This window comes from Homo sapiens, chromosome 3 (genome assembly GCF_000001405.40).
Source record: "Homo sapiens chromosome 3, GRCh38.p14 Primary Assembly".
NCBI lineage: Eukaryota > Metazoa > Chordata > Mammalia > Primates > Hominidae > Homo > Homo sapiens.
Window position 1 is genome coordinate 151,472,813 of NC_000003.12, and position 22,987 is coordinate 151,495,799.

The 22,987-nt window shown below is 38.3% G+C and overlaps 1 protein-coding gene and 1 pseudogene across 6 annotated transcripts in view, besides 2 other annotated features; both read right to left on the minus strand.

Annotated features, from left to right (window-relative positions):
- IGSF10 (immunoglobulin superfamily member 10) overlaps positions 1–22,987 on the minus strand; it is a 187,494-nt gene that overhangs the window by 40,381 nt on the left and 124,126 nt on the right. The gene's annotated exons all lie outside the window — the stretch shown is intronic.
- On the minus strand, positions 2,992–3,362 carry MRPL42P6 (mitochondrial ribosomal protein L42 pseudogene 6; annotated as a pseudogene).
- Positions 10,763–11,264: an enhancer, noted in NCBI's record as "H3K4me1 hESC enhancer chr3:151201363-151201864 (GRCh37/hg19 assembly coordinates)". NCBI's record gives its function as "activates a minimal SCP1, AML or CMV promoter by ChIP-STARR-seq in naive H9 embryonic stem cells {active_cell/tissue: H9 hESC(naive)}" and the evidence as "EXISTENCE:reporter gene assay evidence [ECO:0000049][PMID:30033119]".
- Positions 11,265–11,764: an enhancer, noted in NCBI's record as "H3K4me1 hESC enhancer chr3:151201865-151202364 (GRCh37/hg19 assembly coordinates)". NCBI's record gives its function as "activates a minimal SCP1, AML or CMV promoter by ChIP-STARR-seq in naive H9 embryonic stem cells {active_cell/tissue: H9 hESC(naive)}" and the evidence as "EXISTENCE:reporter gene assay evidence [ECO:0000049][PMID:30033119]".

The following is a 22,987-nucleotide window of genomic DNA, read 5'->3' on the forward strand; positions in this document are numbered from 1 at the left end:
GAACCTGGAGACTGGGTCTTCTGGAAACAATATCAGAGGAAGACTATTTTTGAACCTTGTTGGAAGGGACCTTACCAAGTTCTCACCACCCACACTGCAGTGAAGCTTCAGGGCCTTGAACCTTGGGTCCACGTCTCACAACTCAAAAGGACCCCTTCTGACTTGTGGAACTGTACACCTGTTGGAGACTTTAAGATAAAGTTGACCAGGGAAATCTCTCTCCAGGAAGAGATGCCATCCTAGTTGTGGACAGCTTTCCTAAGATCATGGATCAAGACTTCTCTACCATCATGAAAGCCTTATGTGTTCTTCTGTTTTCCTCATCTTTTGTTGCCCTAATCCTTTCGTTTTCTGTACAGGAAAATCCATGGGACCATAATCAGTTGATGGCTTTAGCTCAAGCTTGTGCTGAACACAAAACCAGAGTAATTGTTGGATTTGTGGGCTAATGCCAAAAAATCAGGAAATGATTCCACTGATGCCAATGCCTCTCTGTGTTCCCAGTGAGAATCACCCTGAGACTCCAAGGGAGGAATGGAAAACTATTATTGATATTCTAAACATCACTGCTATTTGCTTTCCTACGCTCACTAACTTTTTCAATCGATAACTTGATCATTGCCAATTATAAAAAAACAATCCAAGTGATGCAAGCAAAAGGTATATTGTGCTTCCAAGGTATCATGCACTCAAGATTTGGGAATTACCTATGTTGGTACAAGTAATTGCTTGTATAATGTAACTGGATTAAACCCAGTAGGGTCTCCTTTTACTAAATGTGGTTATACACCCTTACTATATATTATAAAGGAGCCACAAAAAAAGTAAATTTCCCACTGGATGTTGTTCAGGAGCTGTGCAGATTTATGGATGAACAAACTTGACTGACCTCTGCTCAAATGTAACTAGGGGGCCCTTTTTTCCAAGCCCTGAGGATCTATATTGGGTCTGTGGAGAATCTGCATATTCTGTTCTACCTCCTCGTTGGTTCAGATCTTGTTATTTTGCCTGGCTTGCTCCTGTTTTTTTAATAGCTTCCCCTGAAAATTCTCATGATAGCCCTTATAATTGGAGGCCAAAATGATCAATAACTGAAATTAGCACTAGCTTTGAAAAAGATAAGGATAAGCTAGTTTCCACTGATGAAATATTCCAGTGGGGCTCCTGGGGGCTCACTCTTGGTGGTAGTGGGGTATCAGTTGTATGGAATTTAAAGCTAATTTGTGAATTGGGGAAAATCTTAGATTTTGTAGCCAATTAGACCTCCTAGAGTTTCAGATGGGTAAAAGCTACTCTCTGAAAAGTAGATGACAACATACACATTCAAAACAAGCACTTAATGGAACATCATGCAGCTTTAGATATTTTGCTCAAGCTGAAGGCATACGTTTGGTGTTAAACAGAACTGAATGTTGTACTTATCTCACCCCTGATTTCGTTACTACAGAAAGCTTAATTTAAAAGGTGGGTGATACTGCTGTTTCCTTAGACACTACTACCAAATACCTTAAAGAAATCTCTCAAGAGAAAGGAACCCATGATGTGTTTACAGGAGCAACTGACAGTTGGTTTGCACATAATCCTAAGTGGTGGATGATACGCTTGGGTTTTCCAAGGGTTTCTAATCTTTATATTTCTTCCAATAAGTTTCCAAGTTATTATGATTTGTATTACACCAGGGTAACAAGGAAAATGAGTACCTCTTTAAATTAGGCTACTTTCCAGCGAACTATGGTCCTTAGTCGCTCTCACACTCCAAATGAGGACTAGGACCAATTAGACCCTAATATTGTTGAACTGCCTATATTGTATAAACCTTAACTTGGTTAATTTGGTTCAGTTCATATTAGTCCATTTTCACACTGCTGATAAAGACATACCCAAGACTGGGCAATTTACAGAAGAAAGAGGTTTAATTGGACTTACAGTTCTACATGGCTGGGGAAGCCTCACAATCATGGCAGAAGGCAAGAAGGAGCAAGTCACATATTATGTGGATGGCAGCAGGCAAAGAGAGAGCTTGTGCAGGGGAACTCCTCTTTCCAAAACCACCAGATCTTGTGAGACTTATTCACTATCATGAGAACAACATGGGAAAGACTTTCCCCCATGATTCAATTACCTCCCACTGGGTCCCTCCCACAATATGTGGGATTTCAAGATGAGATTTAGGTGGGGACACAGCCAAACCATATCAGAACTCTTATTAAGGAGCATGTCTTAGGCATTTTGATATTATTCTCTTGATAGTCACAGTAATAGCCCCCCTGGTGTACTGTATCCTCTTAAGTCTTAAATGTTTTGTATATAGCCATCCATTGAGAGTTAATAGTCTCACTCCAAATGGGTCAGCAAGAACATAAAGATTCATTCAGCTGGAAAAAAGATGTGACTTGTGAATTTCATATTGACACCCAAGAAGACATGTGAAGCTCCTTACTAAAACTAAAGAGGACTTGTAAACACACAGACCAAATAAGTCTTTTCGATTGTGAGAGAGACTGGTGTCAATGCCTAAAGTTTTGGTCAATCTCTCTAAATTGAGAGGTTAACCAAAAGGGGGGAAATGTTAATGCAAATTAAATATGGCCTGAGAAGGATTTCATGCTTCTATATTAGAGTCCTTGGGGATGAACCATAACCTAACTTAATAGGTAAACAAGATTGAAAACCTAACTTAGGAGTATATGCCTGTAACATTTGGCCTATCCTAGCAGTTATACTTCAACCACTCATACACTGCTGAGTGTTCAAACTGTGTTCAAGTAAGGCAAATGCCAACTTGTAACCAGTCCAGCTGTTTCTGTACCTCACTTCTGATTTCTGCATGTCCTTTTTTTGTCTGTAAGTTTGTTCTGACCATGAGGAATCCCTGGAATCTCTCTGAATCTGCTGTGATTTTGGGGGCTGCTTGATTCATAAATCTTTTTTTTTCTTGCTCAATTAAACTTCGTTAAATTTACTTTGTCTGACGTTTTCTTTTAACAGTGCTTAGTAGTAAAGAACATTTTGCTAAATTGTCATGAGTCCTTGCTCAAGGTGTTCAGCTTTTTCTTCTAATCTGGTTTTCAGCCCTAGATCATGTGTTTCTTCATTATTATGCACAGGATCTAGTCAAGAGATATGTTTTGTATGTTCATATGGAATGTCCATAGAAGGGTGCCATCAGACATCACATCAAACTCGACTTTGCAATTATAGTCATCTGGTGGAGAAGACTACTTACATTTATGACAGATACACTATGTCTGTCATAGTGTATCTTTGGATTTGGACAGTTCCAGTCCAAACATTTGGATTGGAAATGTTTCAAAATAATTCTCTGTGATATCACCTATTTTACTGCTGCTACTGCTATGATGTATTGAGATACTTATAAAGTGGTATAAAAATATGTTTTGAAGGAAACTGCTTTTAAACTGCCTCTAAGACATACCAATTTTCATCCCTTGACGATTCCTCACTGTAAGGTTCTTGTATCGGTTTGAACCCTGAGAGTGTGCCAACAGACAACACGAATAGGTGTGGAGAAACATGCTGTTTTAATGAGCGCCTGGGTGTAGGTGGGCTGAGGCCTAATAGGCCTCTGCCCCAAATGAGGATGGGGCAAAAGTTTTATAGTCTCCTATAAACAGGAAGCATCCTAGTCTGACGTAACTGCTACATTGTACCCGGATGGCCTCTTTCTCGATCTTCAGGGGTATCTTCCGGCCAGAGGAGGTATCTTCCGGCCAGCTCTCTTCCTGCTTCTGCTATCTTGCTGACACACACTGCTGACACCAAGTGGCCTTGCGCCTTGGGACTGGGCCTGAGAAGGGAGGAGTTAATTCATCTCCTTAAGCTTTCAGGCCCCCAGGGAGAATCTTACACTCACCACAGGCCTGTCATCTTGTTTCCCCCTCCAGTTTTGTTGAGACAAAGCATCAGAGGTTGTCCAAAAGTGAATGTGCTATGTTTAGAGAGGTGGCAGTACAATATAGTCAGGATTTCATGAGCATTTTCTAAGAGCAAGTGGAGAGTCAGAACCAGAGCTGTCAGCACATGAAGTAGACTCAAGTGCACTATAATTAACCACCCTAGGAGTTGTGTTTAGAAGATGCCTACCAGGTGTTTTCTGATGTCAGCCACTGGGAAGAGGAGTGAAGGAATGCAAAACCAAAATTATGGGCAAAACATACACAGTGTCTGGTTAGGCCATCAACTATGGTATAAACCCTTCTACACCACTGAGGCATTCTGGGGTATGGAGTTGTACTAACGTTGGTTGTAAGAATTTTGAATAGGGTAAGGTCTAGAGAATCATATCCTTGTCAGGATGCTGCTTTACAAATTTTTTTTAAAGCCAACAATTACACTGTTTATTATCTCTTCCCTTTTTTTTAATCTCAGCTGTGTCATTGATTTAATACCATATTTTATTAGAACCTTGCCCATTCTTCTCTAATACCAAAATGCCATGATTCTTCAAACCCAGTTTCTCTGATAGTAGGGAAAAGTAACGAAGTCCCAAAATTTTGTGAAAGCTTTATATGCTTTTATATATATACACAAGAGGTACTGTTTTCCAGTATGTTGCAGAATTAAGTATAAATAGAATAAATGGGGAAGTTTCTTAGGGGAGGTGTCTTGGATTTTAAGGATTTATCTTCATATACATAATTCACAAAATATTTAGAAGTTTTTATTTTTCATTGTTATTTTAAGTCACTAAACAATGTTGTAAAATATATTAGATGTTCTTCTCTTGAAATAAGCTATAGACATGTATTAGGAAATTATGAGAGAACGAAGCTTTATATGGAAAGATCCAGTAAAAAGGATTCCAAAAATCACCGACCATCATAGAGAAGTTACTTTGTTTTTCACTTCCTTCAACAGAGATTTAAATTTAATACATTCTGAGAATAACCACTGAAACAATGCAGAGCAAAGTTCATGATGTTAGAGAAGGGGTTGGCAAACTTTCTGCAAAGGACCAGATAGTGATATGTTAGGCTTTGTGGGCCATATGTTCTCTTTCACAAGTCCCAACTCTGCTTTTGTAGGGAAAGCAGCCATAGATAATATGTAAACAAGTGAGCATGGCTATGCTCCAATAAAACTTTATTCCTAGCCATGGAAATTTAAATTTCATATAATTTTAATGTATCACAAAATATTATTCTTTTGATTTTGCTTTTAATCATTTAAAAATTCAAAATCCATTCTTACATGCTGCCTTCTCCAGGGTGTGCAGGGGATCAGGTTGCAGCACCAGCAGAGCAGGAACTGGGCTGCCTGCCCCCACACCCTCAGGCAGCACCTTAAACCTTAAAACCTTAAAGCCCCTTAAAGTGACAAGGCAGTGGCAAAACAAAACAAACAAACCCATTCTTAGCTCACCATAGGAACACAGTCAGAAGGTGAGATTTGACCATAGTTTGCCTGCTCCTGTGTTAGAGCTGAACATTACCATGGTGTTCTTTGTCATGGAGACATTATCTGGACACTGGCATTTATTGTCATATTAAACTTTGATCTAGCACTTCTAATACAAAAGGGAACAGTTTAAGGGTTTTCTTTCACTTAAAATCCAGGACTAAATATCTAAACATTGCTTTAAGAGATTTCTCTTCAGAAGTCAAAAGTCACTTTTTGGACAGATCATAGCCATTGTGTAATTTGGAGTTTCTTGTGCAGTATTCCATGAGAATCCTGCCAGCATACCAGAGTAACATATTACAGCATTGACAAGATTCTGATGCAGTCTTAAAGGACGCCTAACTAGACAGATAATTTAAAACTTTGCAGTCTGCAAGTAAATGCCCTTTTCTTTTCAGAATTCTGTATTTAGAAAAGAGAGAATTTACTTCTGATCATCATAAGAAGACAATCAAATTCCAATGCTCTATAAGAATGAATCATTTTGCATTTGAGAAGAAGGATAAACACTAAAAGATAAAAGCACACACAAGGCCCATCCTTAGGGACTAAAAAAAAGAGTGTGATATGAGAGAAAGTGTTTAAGTGATAGGATGAAGTCATGGATGTAGCTTTGGATAAGATAAAATAAAAGACTTTTGTATTAAATTAAATTGATGTATGCTCAGAGAACATTAACCTAAACCAAAAATATCAAGGGTAAGATTCATCAAGTATTCAGAAGAAGCATTTTAAATTCTTAAAACTTCCTAACACCTACACTCTCAGGTAAATAGTGTTTAATATTTTGCAAGCCTTATTTTTCTGCTAAGCTTAAGTGAGGAAAGTCATGCCTGCAAATGCATAGCAGCAAGATATTTTCAAATCCTGTAGTCTAGGTCAAAGAAATCCCAGTTGTAGGAGTTGAAAGAGCTAAAGTTGAAAGAGTTCACAAAGATCAACGTTTTTGTCCTGTACATGGATTAAACACAATACTAGATGGAAAGTAGGATGCTGGTAATTAACAAGCTAGGACAGATTTACCCCAAGTCTTAATGAGAAAAATGGTTGGAAACTCTGGGTGACTCCTGCACATATTGAAAACAAATGTTTCTTTCTGTTTAATGTGAAAGCAAACTTTTAAACGTCTTTTAATTAAATTTATTTTTCACTCTTTTTGGGTAATTAATTAATTAATTAAAATGTCTTTTTATTAAGTTTATTTTCCGCTCTTTTTTAGGTTTAATATTTCTTTGATGGACAATGAACAGTGAGTCAAGACAGCCCTGACTAATATTTAACACTAAATTCTCTACTTAACAGAAAAATAATAAAGCATAAGAAATTCCTGGCTAATCTCATGGACACTTAGAGCAATTCACCAGCGAGCACAGTGGTTAAACATGTCCTCTACTAAAGTGAAACACAGAACAGACCTTTCCTTGTTAGGGCCAAGAGTGTTTACTGGAATCTGAGAACTCCAAATATGTGGCTCATAAATATGTCACTTTTTAACAATGCAAGGGAATATGGAAAATATAGCTATGGAGTGAATGAAAGGTCTGCAAACAGACACATTTAACTATAAATATGGAATATAATTTATATCCTCCTCTTCTATGCCACTGCTATTTACATCAGTGACATTTCTAGTCTTATACCAGGCAGTCTATAGAAACTTATTATCATGAAGAGACACAGTCTTTGCATTGAAGAGTTAATAATCTAACGAAGAAAAAAAAAATAAGTGACAAATCATTACTTTTATCACACTTTTTTTTTTATCACACACATCTATTCAGGAGTGCATATCCAAATAGCCACATATGAAGGTAAGCCTGCATTTACTGCTTTGATTTTAAAAATAATAGTTGCCTGAGAATGATGTCAGCAAGATGGCCGACTAGAAGCTCCTAGAGCTCTTCTTCCCCACTAAATCCTCCCGCCAAACAGCAAATAAACAACTATATTTTGACCAAAATAAAGAAGAGTACCATAGAACAGCAAAGCAGCAGCAGAAATCCTGCAGAGCACAGAAATCCAGGATGCTGCATGGAGAAGGGAAGGAAACACCTTTCCCTCACTACCTCCATCTTCCCAGTTGGGATCAGCTTGGGACTAGGAGAGATTTCTCTCTGCTGGAAAAAGGTAAGCAATAGGATCCCAACAGCCACCATTAGCATCGTGGACACTTTCAGTCCTCATAGGTGTCCTTCACAGGGTCTAAGCCCAGCCGAGAGAGCTCCTAGAGTCCACGCACTGAGCTACTTTCAGAGATGGAGCTGACGCTGTGCACTGACCACCTCCCTATGGCCCTTGCTGCTATTGCTCTGCACCATCTTATAAGCAGAGGCACAGTTAGAGTGCATGCTATTCCAGTGGCAAGCAGCCATTGCATCTATCTATCCCTGAGGCTCGGCTGCCACTGCACCATGCCCACCCAGTAGTGCACCACCCCCAAGCAGAGCTGCTTGGGTATAGCTGCTGCTATACCCTGAGCTTGGCCCAGAGCCAAGCTCCTGCAGAGCCACCCCATGCCCCCATCCCAGTTACTGCTGGATCCTCCCTATAGGGCTGAACTGAAGTAATACCCCACCCCTGCAGACCCAGAGGCTTGAACTACCAGAACATTTGTGCCCCCAGCACCACAGCCAAGGTATCACCCCATTCCCCCAGCAACCTGCATCTCCAGCACACTGGAGAAATGTGTCTTCAGCCTCAGAACAGGCATAGTACCCTGTCCCCCAGGGACCTCAGTCCTCCTGCACAAGGAATTATTGGTGTCCCTAGTGCCAAAGCTGAGGGCGGCAGCATGCTACGCCCCAGGAAGTCTGAGCTCTAGCCCATCAGAACAGTTGCATTTCCCAGCACCATAGCTGACATGGTGCCTGACCCCCCAGAGATCCAGAGGCTCTGCTGACTCACGTAGCTGCACTTTCTGGGGTTGAGCAGATGCAGACCCTTGCATCCCAGGGAATCAGACCCTTGCATGAGCCGTGTGACCTCACTCTCCAGGCTGAACAGGTATAGCACCTTGCCTATCTGGAAATACATTAGCCTTCTGCAGTTTAAGCTGCAGCACTCCACCTCTGTAAGGAGGGGTATCATCACTGTGTTGTTCCCTACCCGCAGGGTCCAAGCAACTGCAGCATCTTTCCATTCTTGGGTCCATGTTGCTGCTGCTGCACCTGGCCTCACAGAGCTAATTTGCAGCCCCAAATTGAAGCGGTCCTAAATTCAAGGCCTGAGGCTCTGAAGCATCCCTTCTTTCTTGCACAGGCTAGTGCTGTACCCTACCCCTCAGGGTCAAAATCACAGCTATATCTCAGGACTCTGGATAAAAACTTGGGTGTATCTCAGAGCAACCGACCCTGGCTTAGTGGGAGAAATGCATTCACTTGTGCCTCAGAAAGTGAACATGCACCTTAAATCCCCAGGGCTGCAATAGTTTTGTAAGACCTTAAGTCCACAAACCTGACTCCACAGCTACTCCAAGCACCTATGTCCTGGATTGCAGTGCCACTGTGGCTACCTATGACCCACGGAAGACTCAGCACCAACAGAGATCCCCTCAACTAAGATTTCCCACTGTGAGGAACTCTTAGCAAATCTGTTAACTAAAGAGGATTCTTAAAGTCCTTACCCTAATAACTTATACAGCTACTGTCACTGCCACAAACCCTGCAGCCTAGATCACTGAGTCACCCTCAGTCATCGCTAACATTGATCACAGCCAAAGAAACTGCATGGAGATTACTCCACTATATCCACATGGAACCAGAGTCACCACACCCTGCCCAACCGACACCCTCAAGCACATCTGCAGATAAAAGTAATTCCCTATGAAAGCCAATCAATAAAATTTGGAATAGCTGACTGCACAACCAGAGACATACGTATCAATGCAAGGACACAAGAAACATGAAAAAGAAAACAAGATACTATGAAAGGAACACAATGATTCTTCAGTAACTAACCCTAAAGAAATGAAAATTTATAAATTGCCCAAAAAGAAATTCAAAAATTCAAAACAATGATCTTAAGGAAACTCAGCAAGATGCAAGAGAATACAAATAGACAGTTCAATGAAACCAGAAAAGGAATTCATGACCAGAATGAGAAATTTAATAAAGAGACCGGTATCATTAAAACAACCACCAACACCACTACCACTAATCTTGGAGCTGAAGAATTAAATGAATAAAATAAAACATACAATTGAAAGCTTCAACAGCAGACCATACTGATCAGAGGAAAGAATCTATGAACTTGAAGACTGGTTTTTTAACATGACTCAGAGGGGCAAAAAAATAAAGGAATAAAGACAGTCTATAGGGCATTATTAAGCAAACAAATATTCAGATTATAGGGATTCCATAGAAAGAAGAGATGGAGAAGACAAAGAAAGCTTCTTTAATAAAATAATTGTGGGGAAATCCCAAGTCCTGGATGAGATGTGGACATGCAGACCCATTAAGATTATAGGTTCCAAAATAGATTCAACCCAAGGAAGTCCTGTCTTAGGCACATTATAATAAAACAGTCAAAAGTCAAAGACAAAAAGAATTCTAAAAGCCACAAAAGAAAAGCACCTACATCATAGATAAGAGAACCTTCATTACTATTAGTGGATTTCTAAGGGAAAAACTTGCAGGCCAGGAGAGAATGGGATGATACAGTCTAAGTGTTTTTTTGTTTTTTTTTTTAAAGCCCTGCTGGCCAAGAATATTATGCTTAGCAAATCTGTTATTCAAAAATGAAGGAGAATAGTCTTTTCAGATAAGCAAAAACTGAGGAAATTCATCAATAGTCCCACTTTATAAGAAATGCTTAAGGCAGTTCTTCAAATGGAAACAAAAAGATGATAATTACTGTCATTAACACATATGAAAAAATAAAACTTACTAGTAGAGATAAATTTAGAGTCAAATTTGGAATGTGCCAATATTGTAAAGCTGGCGTGTAAACCACATATATCTTCAATATGAAGATTAAAAGTGAAAATGGTCAAAAATAACAAAAGCTACAATAAGTTGTTAAGGAATACACAACATAAAAAGATGTAAATTATGACATTCAAAACATAAATAGGGGAAGGATAAAAACCTAGAGTTTCATTATGTGACAGAGTTATTTTTAGCTTAAAATTGCAGATTGTAAGTATAAAATATTTTATGTAAGCTTCATAGTAACCACAAAATAAAAAACTACAGCAGATATACAAACAAGAAAGAAAGGAATCAAAGCTTAGCATTATAGAAAATTATCAAATCACAAATGTAGAAAAGAAAAGAGGGGGGATTGCTGGCAAGATGGCCTAATAGGAAAAACTCTGGTCTGTAGCTCCCATCAAGATCGACACAGAAGGTGGATGATTTCTATATTTCTAACTGAGGTACCTAGGTCATCTCACTGGGACTGGTTGGACAATAGGTGCAGCCCAAGGAGGACAACTGAAGCAGGGTGGGGCATTGCCTCACCCAGGAAGCACAAGGGTCAGGGAACTCCCTCTCTTAGCCAAGGGAAGCCATTAGGGACTGTACCATGCACTCTGGCCCAGATACTGAGCTTTTCCCATGGTCTTCACAACCTGCAGACCAGGAGATTCCCTCCAGTTCCTATGTCCCTAGGGCCCTGGGTTTCCAGCACAAAACTGAGCAGCTGTTTGGGCAGACACTGAGCTAGATGCATGAGTTTTTTTTATATACCCCAGTGGCACCTGGAACACCAGCAAGACAGAACTGTTCACTCCCCTGGAAGGGGGCTGAAGCCACCAAGCCAAGTGGTCTGGCTCAGCGGGTCCCACCTCCACGGAGCCAAGCAAGCTAACATCCACTGGCTTGAAATTCTCATGCCAGCACAGCAGTCTGAGCTCAACCTGGAATGCTCAAGCTTGGTGGTGGGAGGGACATCTGCCATTGCTGAGGCTTGATAGGCGGTTTTACCCTCACAGTATAAACAAAGCCGCTTGGAAGTTTGAACTGGGCAGAGCCCACTGCAGCTCAGCAAGGCCACTGCAGCCAGACTGCCTTTCTAGATTCCTTCCTCTCAGAGCTGGGCATCTCTGAAAAAAAGGCAGCAGCCCCAGTCAGGGACTTATAGATAAAAACCCCCACCTCCCTGGGACACAGCACATGGCGGGAGGGGCAGTTGTGGGCACAGCTTCAGCAGATTTAAATGTCCCTGACTGATGGCTCTGAGAGCAGCGGATCTCTCAGCACAGTGTTTGAGCTCTGATAAGAGACAGACTGCCTCCTCAAGTGGGTCCCTGACCCCTGTGTATCCTGACTGGGAGACACCTCCCAGTAGGGGCCAACAGACACCTCATACAGGAGAGCTCTGGCTGGCATCTGGCAGGTGCCCCTCTGGGACAAAGTTTCCAGAGGAACGAACAGGCAGCAATCTTTGCTGTTCTGCAGCCTCTGCCAGTGATACCCAGGCAAACAGGATCTGGAGTGGACCTCCATCAAACTCCAGCAGACCTGCAAAAGAGGGGCCTGTTAGAAGGAAAACTGACAAAAAAAAAAAAAAAGAATAGAATCAACATCAACAAAAAGGACGTCTACTCGGAGACCACATCCAAAGGTCTCTGACTTCAAAGACAAAAGGTAGATAATTCCACAAAGATAGGGAGAAAACAGCTCAAAAAGGCTGAAAATTCCAAAAACTGGAAAGCCTCTTCTCCTCCAAAGGATCACAACTCCTTGCCAGCAAGGGAACAAAACTGGATGGAGAATGAGTGTGATGAATTGACAGAAGTAGGTTTCAGAAGGTGGGTAATAACAAACTCCTCCAAGCTAAAGGATCATGTTCTAACCCAATGCAAGGAAGCTAGCCTTGAAAAGAAGTTAGATGAATTGCTAACTATAATAATCGGTTTAGAGAAAAACATAAATGACCTGATGGAGCTGAAAAACACAGTACAAGAACTTCATGAAGCATACATAAGTATCAATAGCCAAATCGATCAAGTGGAAGAAAGGATATCAGAGATTGAGGATCAACTGAATAAAATAAAGCAAGAAGACATGATTAAAAAAAAAAGAGTGAAAAGAAATGAACAAAGCCTCCAAGAAGTATGGGACTATGTAAAAAGACCAAATCTATGTTTGATTGGTGTGTGTGAAAGTGATGGGGAGAATGGAACCAAGCTGTAAAACACTCTTCAGGATATTATCCAGGAGAACTTCCCCAATCTAGCAAGATGGCCAACATTCAAATTCAGAAAATACAGAGAACACCACAAAGATACTCCTTGAGAAGAACAACCCCAAGACACATAATCACCAGATTCATCAAGGTTGAAATGAAAGAAAAAATGTAAAGGGCAGCAAGATAGAAAGATTGGGTTATGCACAAAGGGAAGCCCATCAGACTAACAGTGGATCTCTTGGCAGAAACCCTACAAGCCAGAAGAGAGTGGGGGCCAATATTCAACATTCTTAAAGGAAAGAATTTTCAACCCAGAATTTCGTATCCAACAAAACTAAGCTTCATAAACAAAGGAGAAATAAAATCCTTCACAGACAAGCAAATGCTGAGAGATTTTGTCACCATCAGGCCTGCCTTACAAGAGCTCCTGAAGGAAGCACTAAACATAGAAAGGATCAACCGGTACCAGCCACTGCAAAGTCATACCAAATTGTGAAGACCATCCACACTATGAAGAAACTGCATCAACTAACAGGCAAAATAACCAGCTAGCATCATAATGCCAGGATCGAATTCACACATAACAATATTAATCTTAAATGTAAATGGCTAAGTGTCCCAATTAAAAGACACAGACTGGCAAATTGGATAAAGAGTCAAGACCCATCGGTGTGTTGTATTCAGGAGACCCATCTCACGTGCAAAGACTCACACATAGGCTCAAACTAAAGGGATGCAGGGAGATTACCAAGCAAATGGAAAGCAAAAAACAAAACAAAACAAAACAAAAACAGGGGTTGCAATCCTAGTATCTGATAAAACAGATTTTATAACAACAAAAACCAAAAGAGACAAAGAAGGGCATTACATGATGGTAAAGGGATCAATGCAACAAGAAGAGCTAACTATCCTACATATATATGCACCCAATACAGGAGCACCCAGATACATAAAGCAAGTTCTTAGAGCCCTGCAAAGAGACTTAAACTCCCACACAATAATAGTGGGAGACTTTAACACCCCACTGTCAATATTAGATTAATGGGACAGAAAATTAACAAGGATATCCAGGAGTTGAACTCACCTCTGGACCAAGCAGACCTAATAGACATCTACAGAATTCTCCACCCCAAATGAACAGAACACACATTCTTCTCAGCACTACATTTTACTTATTCTAAAACTGATCATATAATTGGAAGTAAAACACTCTTCAGCAAATGCAAAAGAACGGATATCATAACCGTCTCTCAGACCACAGTGCAATCAAATTAGAACTCAAGATTAAGAAACTCACTCAAAACCGCACAGCTACATGGAAACTGAACAACCTCCTGAATGACTACTCAATGAAATAAAGCAAGAAGACAAGATTAGAATAATGAAATGACAGCAGAAATAAAGATGGTTTTTGAAACCAATAAGAACAAAGACACAATGTACCAGAATCTCTGGGACAGATTTAAAGCAGTGTGTAGAGGGAAATTTATAGCACTAAATGCCCACAAGCGAAAGCATGAAAGTTCTAAAATTGATATCCTAACATCATAATTAGAAGTACTAGAGAAGCAAGAGCAAACAAATTCAAAAGCTAGCAGAAGACAAGAAATAACTAAGATCCGAGCAGAACTGAAGGAGATAGACATGAAATACCTTTCAAAAAAAAATTAATGAATCCAAGACCTGTTTTTTTTAAAGATCAACAAAATAGCCTGCTAGCCAGACTAATGAAGAAGAAAGGAAAGAAGAATCAAATAGGTGCAATAAAAAATGACAAAGAGAATATCACCACTGATCCCACAGAAATACAAACTACCAAAACACAATACTATAAACACCTCTATGCAAATAAACTAGAAAATCTAGAAGAAATGGATAAATTCCTGGACACATACACCCTCCCAAGACTAAACCAGGAAGAAGTCGAATCCTTGAATAGACCAATAACAAGTTCTGAAATTGAGGCAGCAATTAATAGCCTACCAACCAAAAAAAGTCCAAGACCAGACAGACTCACAGCCAAATTCTACCAGAAGTACAAAGAGGAGCTGGTACCATTCCTTCTGCAACTATTCCAAACAATACAAAAAGAAGGACTCCTTCCTAACTTATTTTATGAGGCCAGCATCATCCTGATATCAAAACCTGGCAGAGACACAACAAAAAAAGAAAATTTCAGGCCAATATCTCTGATTAACATCAATGCAAAAATCCTCAATAAAATACTGGCAAACCAAATCCAGCAGCACATCAAAAAGCTTATCCACCATGATCAAGTTGGCTTCATCCCTGGGATGCAAGGGTGGTTCAACATACTCAAATCAATAAACGTAATCCATCACATAAACAGAACCACTGACAAAAACCACATGATTATCTCAATAGATGCAGAAGTCCTTGGACAAAATTCTACAGCCCTTCATGCTAAAAACTCTCAATAAACTAGGCATTGATGGAACGTGTCTCAAAATAATAAGAGCTATTTATGACAAGCCAACAGCCAATATCATACTGAATGGGCAAAAACTGGAAGCATTCCCTTTGAAAACCAGCAAAAGACAAGGATGCCCTCTCTCACCACTCCTATTAAACATAGTATTGGAAGTTCTGGCCAGGGTAATCAGGCAAGAAAAAGAAAAAAGCATTTTCAGTTAGGAAAAGAGGAAGTCAAATTGTCTCTGTTTGCAGATGACATGATCTTATATTTAGAAAACCCCATCATCACAGCCCAAAATCTCCATAAGCTGATAAGCAACTTCAGCAAAGTCCCAGGATACAAAATCAATGTGCAAAAATCACAAGCATTCCTATACATCAATAACAGAGAGCCAAATCATGAGTGAACTCCCATTCACAATTGCTACAAAGAGAATTAAGTACCTAGGAATACAACTTACAAGGAATGTGAAGGACCTCTTCAAGGAGAACTACAAACCACTGCTCAAGGAAATAAGAGAGGACACAAACAAATGGAAAAACATTCCATACTCATGGACAGGAAGAATCAATATCGTGAAAATGGCCATACTGCCCAAAGTAATTTATAGATTCAATGCTATCCCCATCAAGCTACAATTGACTTTCTTCACAGAATTAGAAAAAAAACTACTTTAAATGTCATATGGAACCAAAGAAGAGCCCGCATAGCCAAGATAATCCTAAGCAAAAAGAACAAAGCTGGAGGCATCATGCTATCTGACATCAATCTATACTACAAGTCTACAGTAACCAAAACAGCATGGTATTTATACCAAAACAGATATATGGACCAATGGAACAGAACAGAGCCCTCAGAAATAAGGCCACACATCTACAACCATCTGATCTTTGACAAACCTGACAAAAACAAGCAATGGGGAAAGGATTCCTTATTTAATAAAGGATGTTGGGAAAACTGGCTTGCCATATGGAGAAAGCTGAAACTGGATCCCTTCCTTACACCTTATACAAAAAGTAACTCAAGATGTATTAAAGACTTAAATGTAAGACCTAAAACCATAAAATCCCTAGAAGAAAACCTAGGCAATACCCTTCAGGACATAGGCATGGACAAAGACTTCATGACTGACACACAAAAAGCAATGGCAACAAAAGCCAAAATTGACAAATGGGATCTAATTAAACTAAAGAACTTCTGCGCAGCAAAAGAAACTATCATCAGAATGAACAAGCAACCTACATAATGGGAGAAAATTTTTGCAATCTATCTATCTGACAAAGGGCTAATATCCAGAATCTACAAAGAACTGAAACAAATTTACAGGAAAGAAACAAACAACCTCATCAAAAAGTGGGTGAGGGATATGAACAGACCCTTCTCAAAAGAAGACATTCATGCAGCCAACAAATATATGAAAAAAAGGTCATCATCACTGGTCATTAGAGAAATGCAAATCAAAACCACAATGAGATACCATCTCATGCCAGTTAGAATGGTGATCATTAAAAAGTAGGAAACAACAGATGCTGGAGAGGATGTGAAGAAATAGAACGCTTTTACACTGTTTGTAGGAGTGTAAATTAGTTCAACCATTGGGAAGACAGTGTGGTGATTCCTCAGGGATCTAGAACTAGAAATACCATTTGACCCAGTGATCTCATTACTGGGTATATACCCAGAGGATTATAAATCTTTCTACTATAAAGACACATACACACATATGTTTATTGCAGCACTATTCAAAATAGCAAAGACTTAGAACCAACCAAAATGCCATCAATGATAGACTAGATAAAGAAAATGAGGCACATATGCACCATGGAATACTATGCAGCCATAAAAAAGGGTGAGTTCATGTCCTTTGCAGGCACATGGAAGATGCTGGAAACTATCATTCTCAGGAAACTAACAGAAGAACAGAAAACCAAACACCACATGTTCTCACTCATAAGTGGGAGTTGAATAATAAGAACACATGGACACAGGGAGGGGAACATCACATACTGGGGTCTGTTGGGGGGTTGCGGGCTAGGGGAGGGATAGCATTAGGAGAAATACTTAATGTAGATGATGGGTTGATGGGTGCAGCAAACCACCATGGCACGTCTATACCTATGTAATGAACCTGCACACTCTGTACATGTACCCCAGAACTTAAAGTATAATAACAAAAGATGAAGGAATGAAGCAGCTACAAAACAACCAGAAAACAAACAAAATGGCAGTAATAAGTCTTTACTTATCAATAATAACCTTTAATTTAAACATTAAATTCTCCACTCAAGAGTAGCTGAATGAATTTTTAAAAACAAGATCCAATTATATGCTGCTTTCAAAAGACTCACTTAAGCTTTAAGAACACACATAGGCTGAAAGTGAAGGGATAGAAGAAGATAGTCCATGCAAATGGTAATCAAAAGATATCGGGGTGGCTAAATTTAAAGTTGACTTTAAGTCAAAAACTGACAAGAAACAAAGAGTGTCATTATTTAATGATAAAGAGGTCAATTCATCAAGAGGACAGAGTGATTGTAAATGTATTTGCACCCAACATTGTAGAACCTAAATGTATAAATATTAATGGACATGAAGGGAGACATAGACAGCAATACGATAGTGGGGAATTTTGATATCCCATATTCAACAATGGATAGATCAATTAGACAGAAAATTAATATGAGAATACTGAATTTGAACTGCATTTTTTTTTTTTTTACCAAAAAGACCTAACAGACTATTTAGAACTTTCCACCCAACAGCAGAATATACTTTTTTCTCTAGCATTCATAAAACATTCTCCATGATAGACTGTATGTAAAGGCCACAAAACAAGTCTTACCAAATTTCAGAAAATTCACATAATATCTGATATTATTTCAGACCACAATGGTTTGAAATTAGAAATAAATAACAAGAAGAATCTTGGAAAATTCACAAACATGTAGAGATTAAACAACATGCTCCTGAACAACCAATAAGTCAACAAATAAATCAAAAGGGAAAATAAGAAATTTCTTGAGGCAAATGGCAATGGAAACACAACATATCAAAACTTATGGATGAAGTAAGAGCAGTTTTGGGAGGAAGTTTATAGCATTAAATACCTACATTAAAAAATTCCAAATAAATAGTAAAAGATTATGTCTCAAGGAACTATATAAAAGAATGAACAAACCCAAAATTAGCGGAAGGAAGGAAATAAAGATTAGAACAGAAATAAACAGAAAACAGAAAGCCATGGAAAGAATCAATAAAACCAAGTTGATTCTTTGGAAAATTAAAATTGACAAACCCTTAGCTAGTCTAAGAAAAAGAGAGAGAAGACAAAAATAAATAAAACAGAAAATGAAATTGAAGAAATTGCAACAGACACCTCAAAAATAAAAAGCATCATAAGGGATTATAAATGAACAACTATGTACCAACACATTGAATAACCTAGAGCAAATTGATAAATTTCTAGGAAAATATAACTTGCCAAGATTGAGTTGACCAGGCGTGGTGGCTCAAGCCTGTAATCCCAGCACTTTGGGAGGCCATGGCAGGTGGATTACTTGAGGTCAGGAGGTCAAGACCAACCTGGCCAACATGATGAGACCCCGTCTCTACTAAAAATACAAAAAATTAGCCAGGTGTGGTGGTGTGTGCCTGTAATCCCGGGTACTTGGGCAGCTGAGGCAAGAGAATCTCTTGAACCCAAGAGGTAGAGATTGCAGTGAGCCAAGATTGTGCCACTGCACTCCAACCTGGGTGACGGAGTGAGAAATAGTTACAATAGACAAACAAACAAACAATAAATACATAAATAGAGTCAGGAAGAAATACACCAGTAGCAAGAGATTGAGTAAGTAATAAAACATCTCCCAACAAAGAAAAGCACAGGACCAGATGGCTTCACAGCTGAGTTCTACCAAACATTCAAAGAAGAATATCAGTATTTTCTTAAACGCTTCCAAAAATAGAGCCAGAGGGAATACTTCCAAACACATGAAGCCAGCATAACCCTGATACATAAGCCACACAAAGATACCACAAGAAAACAAAACTACAGGCCAATATTTCTGATAAAAATTGATATAAAAACCTTCAATAAAACATTAGCAAACCAAGTGTAAGAATACTTCGAAAAGATTATATGTCATGATTATTTATGCTTTTGGATATTGCATCAAAACCTCAGACCACAAAAGCAAAAATAAATGAGACCACACCAAACTAAAAAAACTCCTGCACACCAAAGGAAACAATCGACAAAATGAAAAGGCAACCTACAGACTGGAAAAAAATATTTGCAAATCACATATATGATAAAGAGTTAATATCCAAAATTTATAAAGAACTCTTGTAACTCAATAACAGAAAAACAAATAACACGATTTTTTTAAATGGGCAAAATACCTGAGCAGACATTTCTTCAAAGACTACATATAAATGGCCAACAGGTATATAAAGAGGTGCTCAACATCACTAATGAGGAGGGAAATGCAAATTAAAACCCCTGTGTCATCTCACACCCATTAGGATGACTATCATCAAAAAGGCAAGAAATCATAAATGTTGGCGAGGATATGGAGAAAAAGGAAACCCCAACACACTGCTGATGGGAATATAGACTGGTTCAGCTATTATGGAAAACAGTATGGAGTTTTCTGAAAATATTAAAATTGGAACCATAATCCCAGCACTTTGGGGGACTGTGGTGGGAGGATCACTTGAGGTCAGGAGTTTGAGACCGGCCTGACACCTCTACTAAAAATACAAAAATTAGCTGGGTGTGGTGGCGCATGCCTGTAATACCAGCTACTTGGGAGGCTGAGGCAGGAGAATCACTGGAAACTGGGAAGCGGAGGTTGCAGTGAACCAAGATCGCGCCACTGCACTCCAGCCTGGGTGACAGTACAGGCTTTCAGTGTTTAAGACTCATTCTCAAAAAAATTAAAGCAAACAAACAAAACCCCATCATATGACACAGCAATCTTTGTATATATACCCAAAGGAGATGAAATCATCACTTCAAAAAGATACTTGTACTCCTATGTTCACTGTAGCATTATTTACAATAGCAAAGATTGGAAACAGTCTGTCTGTTGATAAAGGAAATGTGAGATATATATTTTATATATGTATATGTATGCCTATATATGCATATGTATATAGTTTATAAAGAAATATTAATCAGCCATAAAAAGTAAAGTGATCCTGCCACTTGCCACAATATGAATGGACCTGGAGGACATTATGCTAAGTAAAATGACCCAGGAACAGAAACAAAAATATTGCATGATTTCACTCATGTGTAGAATATTTTGGGGAAAAAAAGGTTAAATAGAATGAAATAGCAGTTACTAGGGGTGAGGGTAGGGGTCAAAGAATACAAAGTAGCAGATATGTAGAATGAACAAGTGATCTAATGTACAACCTGAGGATTATTGTTAATAAAATTATATTACTGGTTTTTGTTAAATAAGTAGATTTTAGCTGCTCTTGTCACTAAAGTAACAATGTGAGTTAATATATTAGTTTGCTTCACTATAGTAACCATTTTACTATCTATAGTCATGTGTTACATAATAATATTTTGGTCAACGATGGACCCCCATATACCAGGTCCCACAAGATTTTAGTGAAGCAGCCTTGTACAGAGGTGCCATTTTTAATTTTTATAACATATTCTTACTGCCCTTTTTCTATGTTTAGATATGTTCAGATACACAAATACTTACAACTGTGTTGCAGTTGCCTGCAGTATTCAGTACAATAACATCCAGTACAGAATGCTAAAATGCTGTAATTCTATGCTGTATTCTTTGTAGCCTACAAGCAATAAAACATTCCACATAGCCTAGGTGTATAGTAGGATATACCAACTATGTTTGTATAAGTATACTCTATAATGTTCATATAATGAAGAAATTGCCTAAGGACACATTTTTCTCCATTGTTAAGTGACACATGACTGTATATGTATCCCATAATATGGTGTAAACCTCCCATATACAAAATAAAAGGTACCAATTTTTTGTGTTTTGTTTTTGGTTTTTGTTTAAAAAACAAACAAACAAACAAAAACAGATTGCTAGCCCACAGAAACTGAGATGACAAGTATGTATTTGTTGTTCTAAGTCACTAAATTTTAGGGGGTAATTTGTTACACAGCAATAGATGACTAAAACAGTAGAACTCAAGAGCATTGTAAAGAAAAAAAACAAAAAATTTATATTGTAGTTCTGGACTATTACTGATGTTTAATAAATACATTCCGGAAGAGAAAATAAGAAACATTGAGAAATTTCTAATTTAGTAGCTTTAAGATACCACATCTACAACTCAACTTCTCCAAAATACCTTTTAAAATTTTATTTCTTGGAAAGAGACCCAGGATTCCAAATTTTCAGAAGTATTCTATTGATTAACATAAATACTCCTTTGACTTTAATTCTAAAATGTTGTATTCTGTGAAATAAAGCAAAAAGAAGAAGAAACAATGATTTTTCAACATCTTCTAAATATAACTAGAATTTTCTATTAAGTTAGGAAGAAAGACAGGAGGGGAGCTATGTGCAGAAACCCCAGGCATATCTTGAATGGGAATGGCTTTAAATTCTGATGAAAATGTTAACTGCATTAAAAAATAATCATAAGGCAGCCTTACTAATTCAAGTAACTAAAAATTTGGATTTTTTTCTTCCCCTCTGCATTGTTTAGTGATGACTTTTCAATTGTTCATGGAATATCTGGGCTGATTTTATGAGCAAATAATGTAAATACGACTCAGGGTTGCAATTCTATTTTAGTTCCCAATTTAATAATCAGATCTTGACAATAACTGGACCTGATTGTACTTACAAGGTAATTATCACTTCATATTGAAAATACTGAGAAGTTTACCTTTTATTCATAGATTCTGTCAAAAATAGGGCTTACTTTTAACTGTAATTCTCTTGTTCTTCGATGGAAATGAATTTCACTATGTCTCTATAAAATTCATGTGCCAGGATTTGCTGGCAAAACAAGATAATCAGCAAGGGTTTGTCTGACAATTGTATTTTAAGGCAGTGCCATTAAATCACAAACACATTTTAGGAAAAAATATTCCAAATATTTTTCAGAAACCTTCTGGGAAAGGCTTATTACTTTATGTAATTCAATATTGGGCTTTTTGAAAAGCATAGAAAGAATAAATTGAGAGCCCAGACAGTATATGCAAGGTAAGGATGAACATTCTCCTGGTCTGGTTGTACATACTACCATGTGGTGCCAAAACACCAAAGCGTATATTGAAGTTTGGTTGGAAAATGGAAATGACATTTATACTTTCTGACACAATTTAATACTTACATAAACGTGATTACTGTTTTCTCTTTTGAGCAAAACTTTTTCTCTGGGCATTAACTGACTTAATCCACATCATTCCAAAGCTGCAACCTGGGCAATTTAGAAATTATGACTGGAATGGGAAACTTCCTGTGCTCATCAAGGTACTGAATTCTAACTATATTCTCATACAACAGAGAAGGTCAGTTGCAAAGTAAAAATAGCACAAATGCAGTTGTGTGAAAACTAAATGGGGATCTGTGGAACAAAACCTACTGTGTCTGTGATTATGATCTACCACGAATGTCAATGAATACTCATGGCTTATTCAATAAAAACATGTCAAGCTTAATGGTAGAATTTGGGCTAAAACACCAATTCTACATTATCCGTGACAACATTAGAGATAAAGTGAAAAAAATTAAGAACGACAAATAACTCAAAAATTTAATTTTCACTGTTTTTTTTATCAGACCTTTCATAAACTAATAACAAGCATCCCAAATGACCAAGTTGATATTTACCTTTTTTTATTCTGTCTTTCTACCCATTGCTGGAAATAGGCCCATGGAGTGAAATGGCCAAAAGGCATCTAGCCAGAGGGGAGAAGGGGAACATGAGCCAAATATTGAGGATTTCTCACAAATTGGATACTAAACCACCAAATAACATATTTTTCCT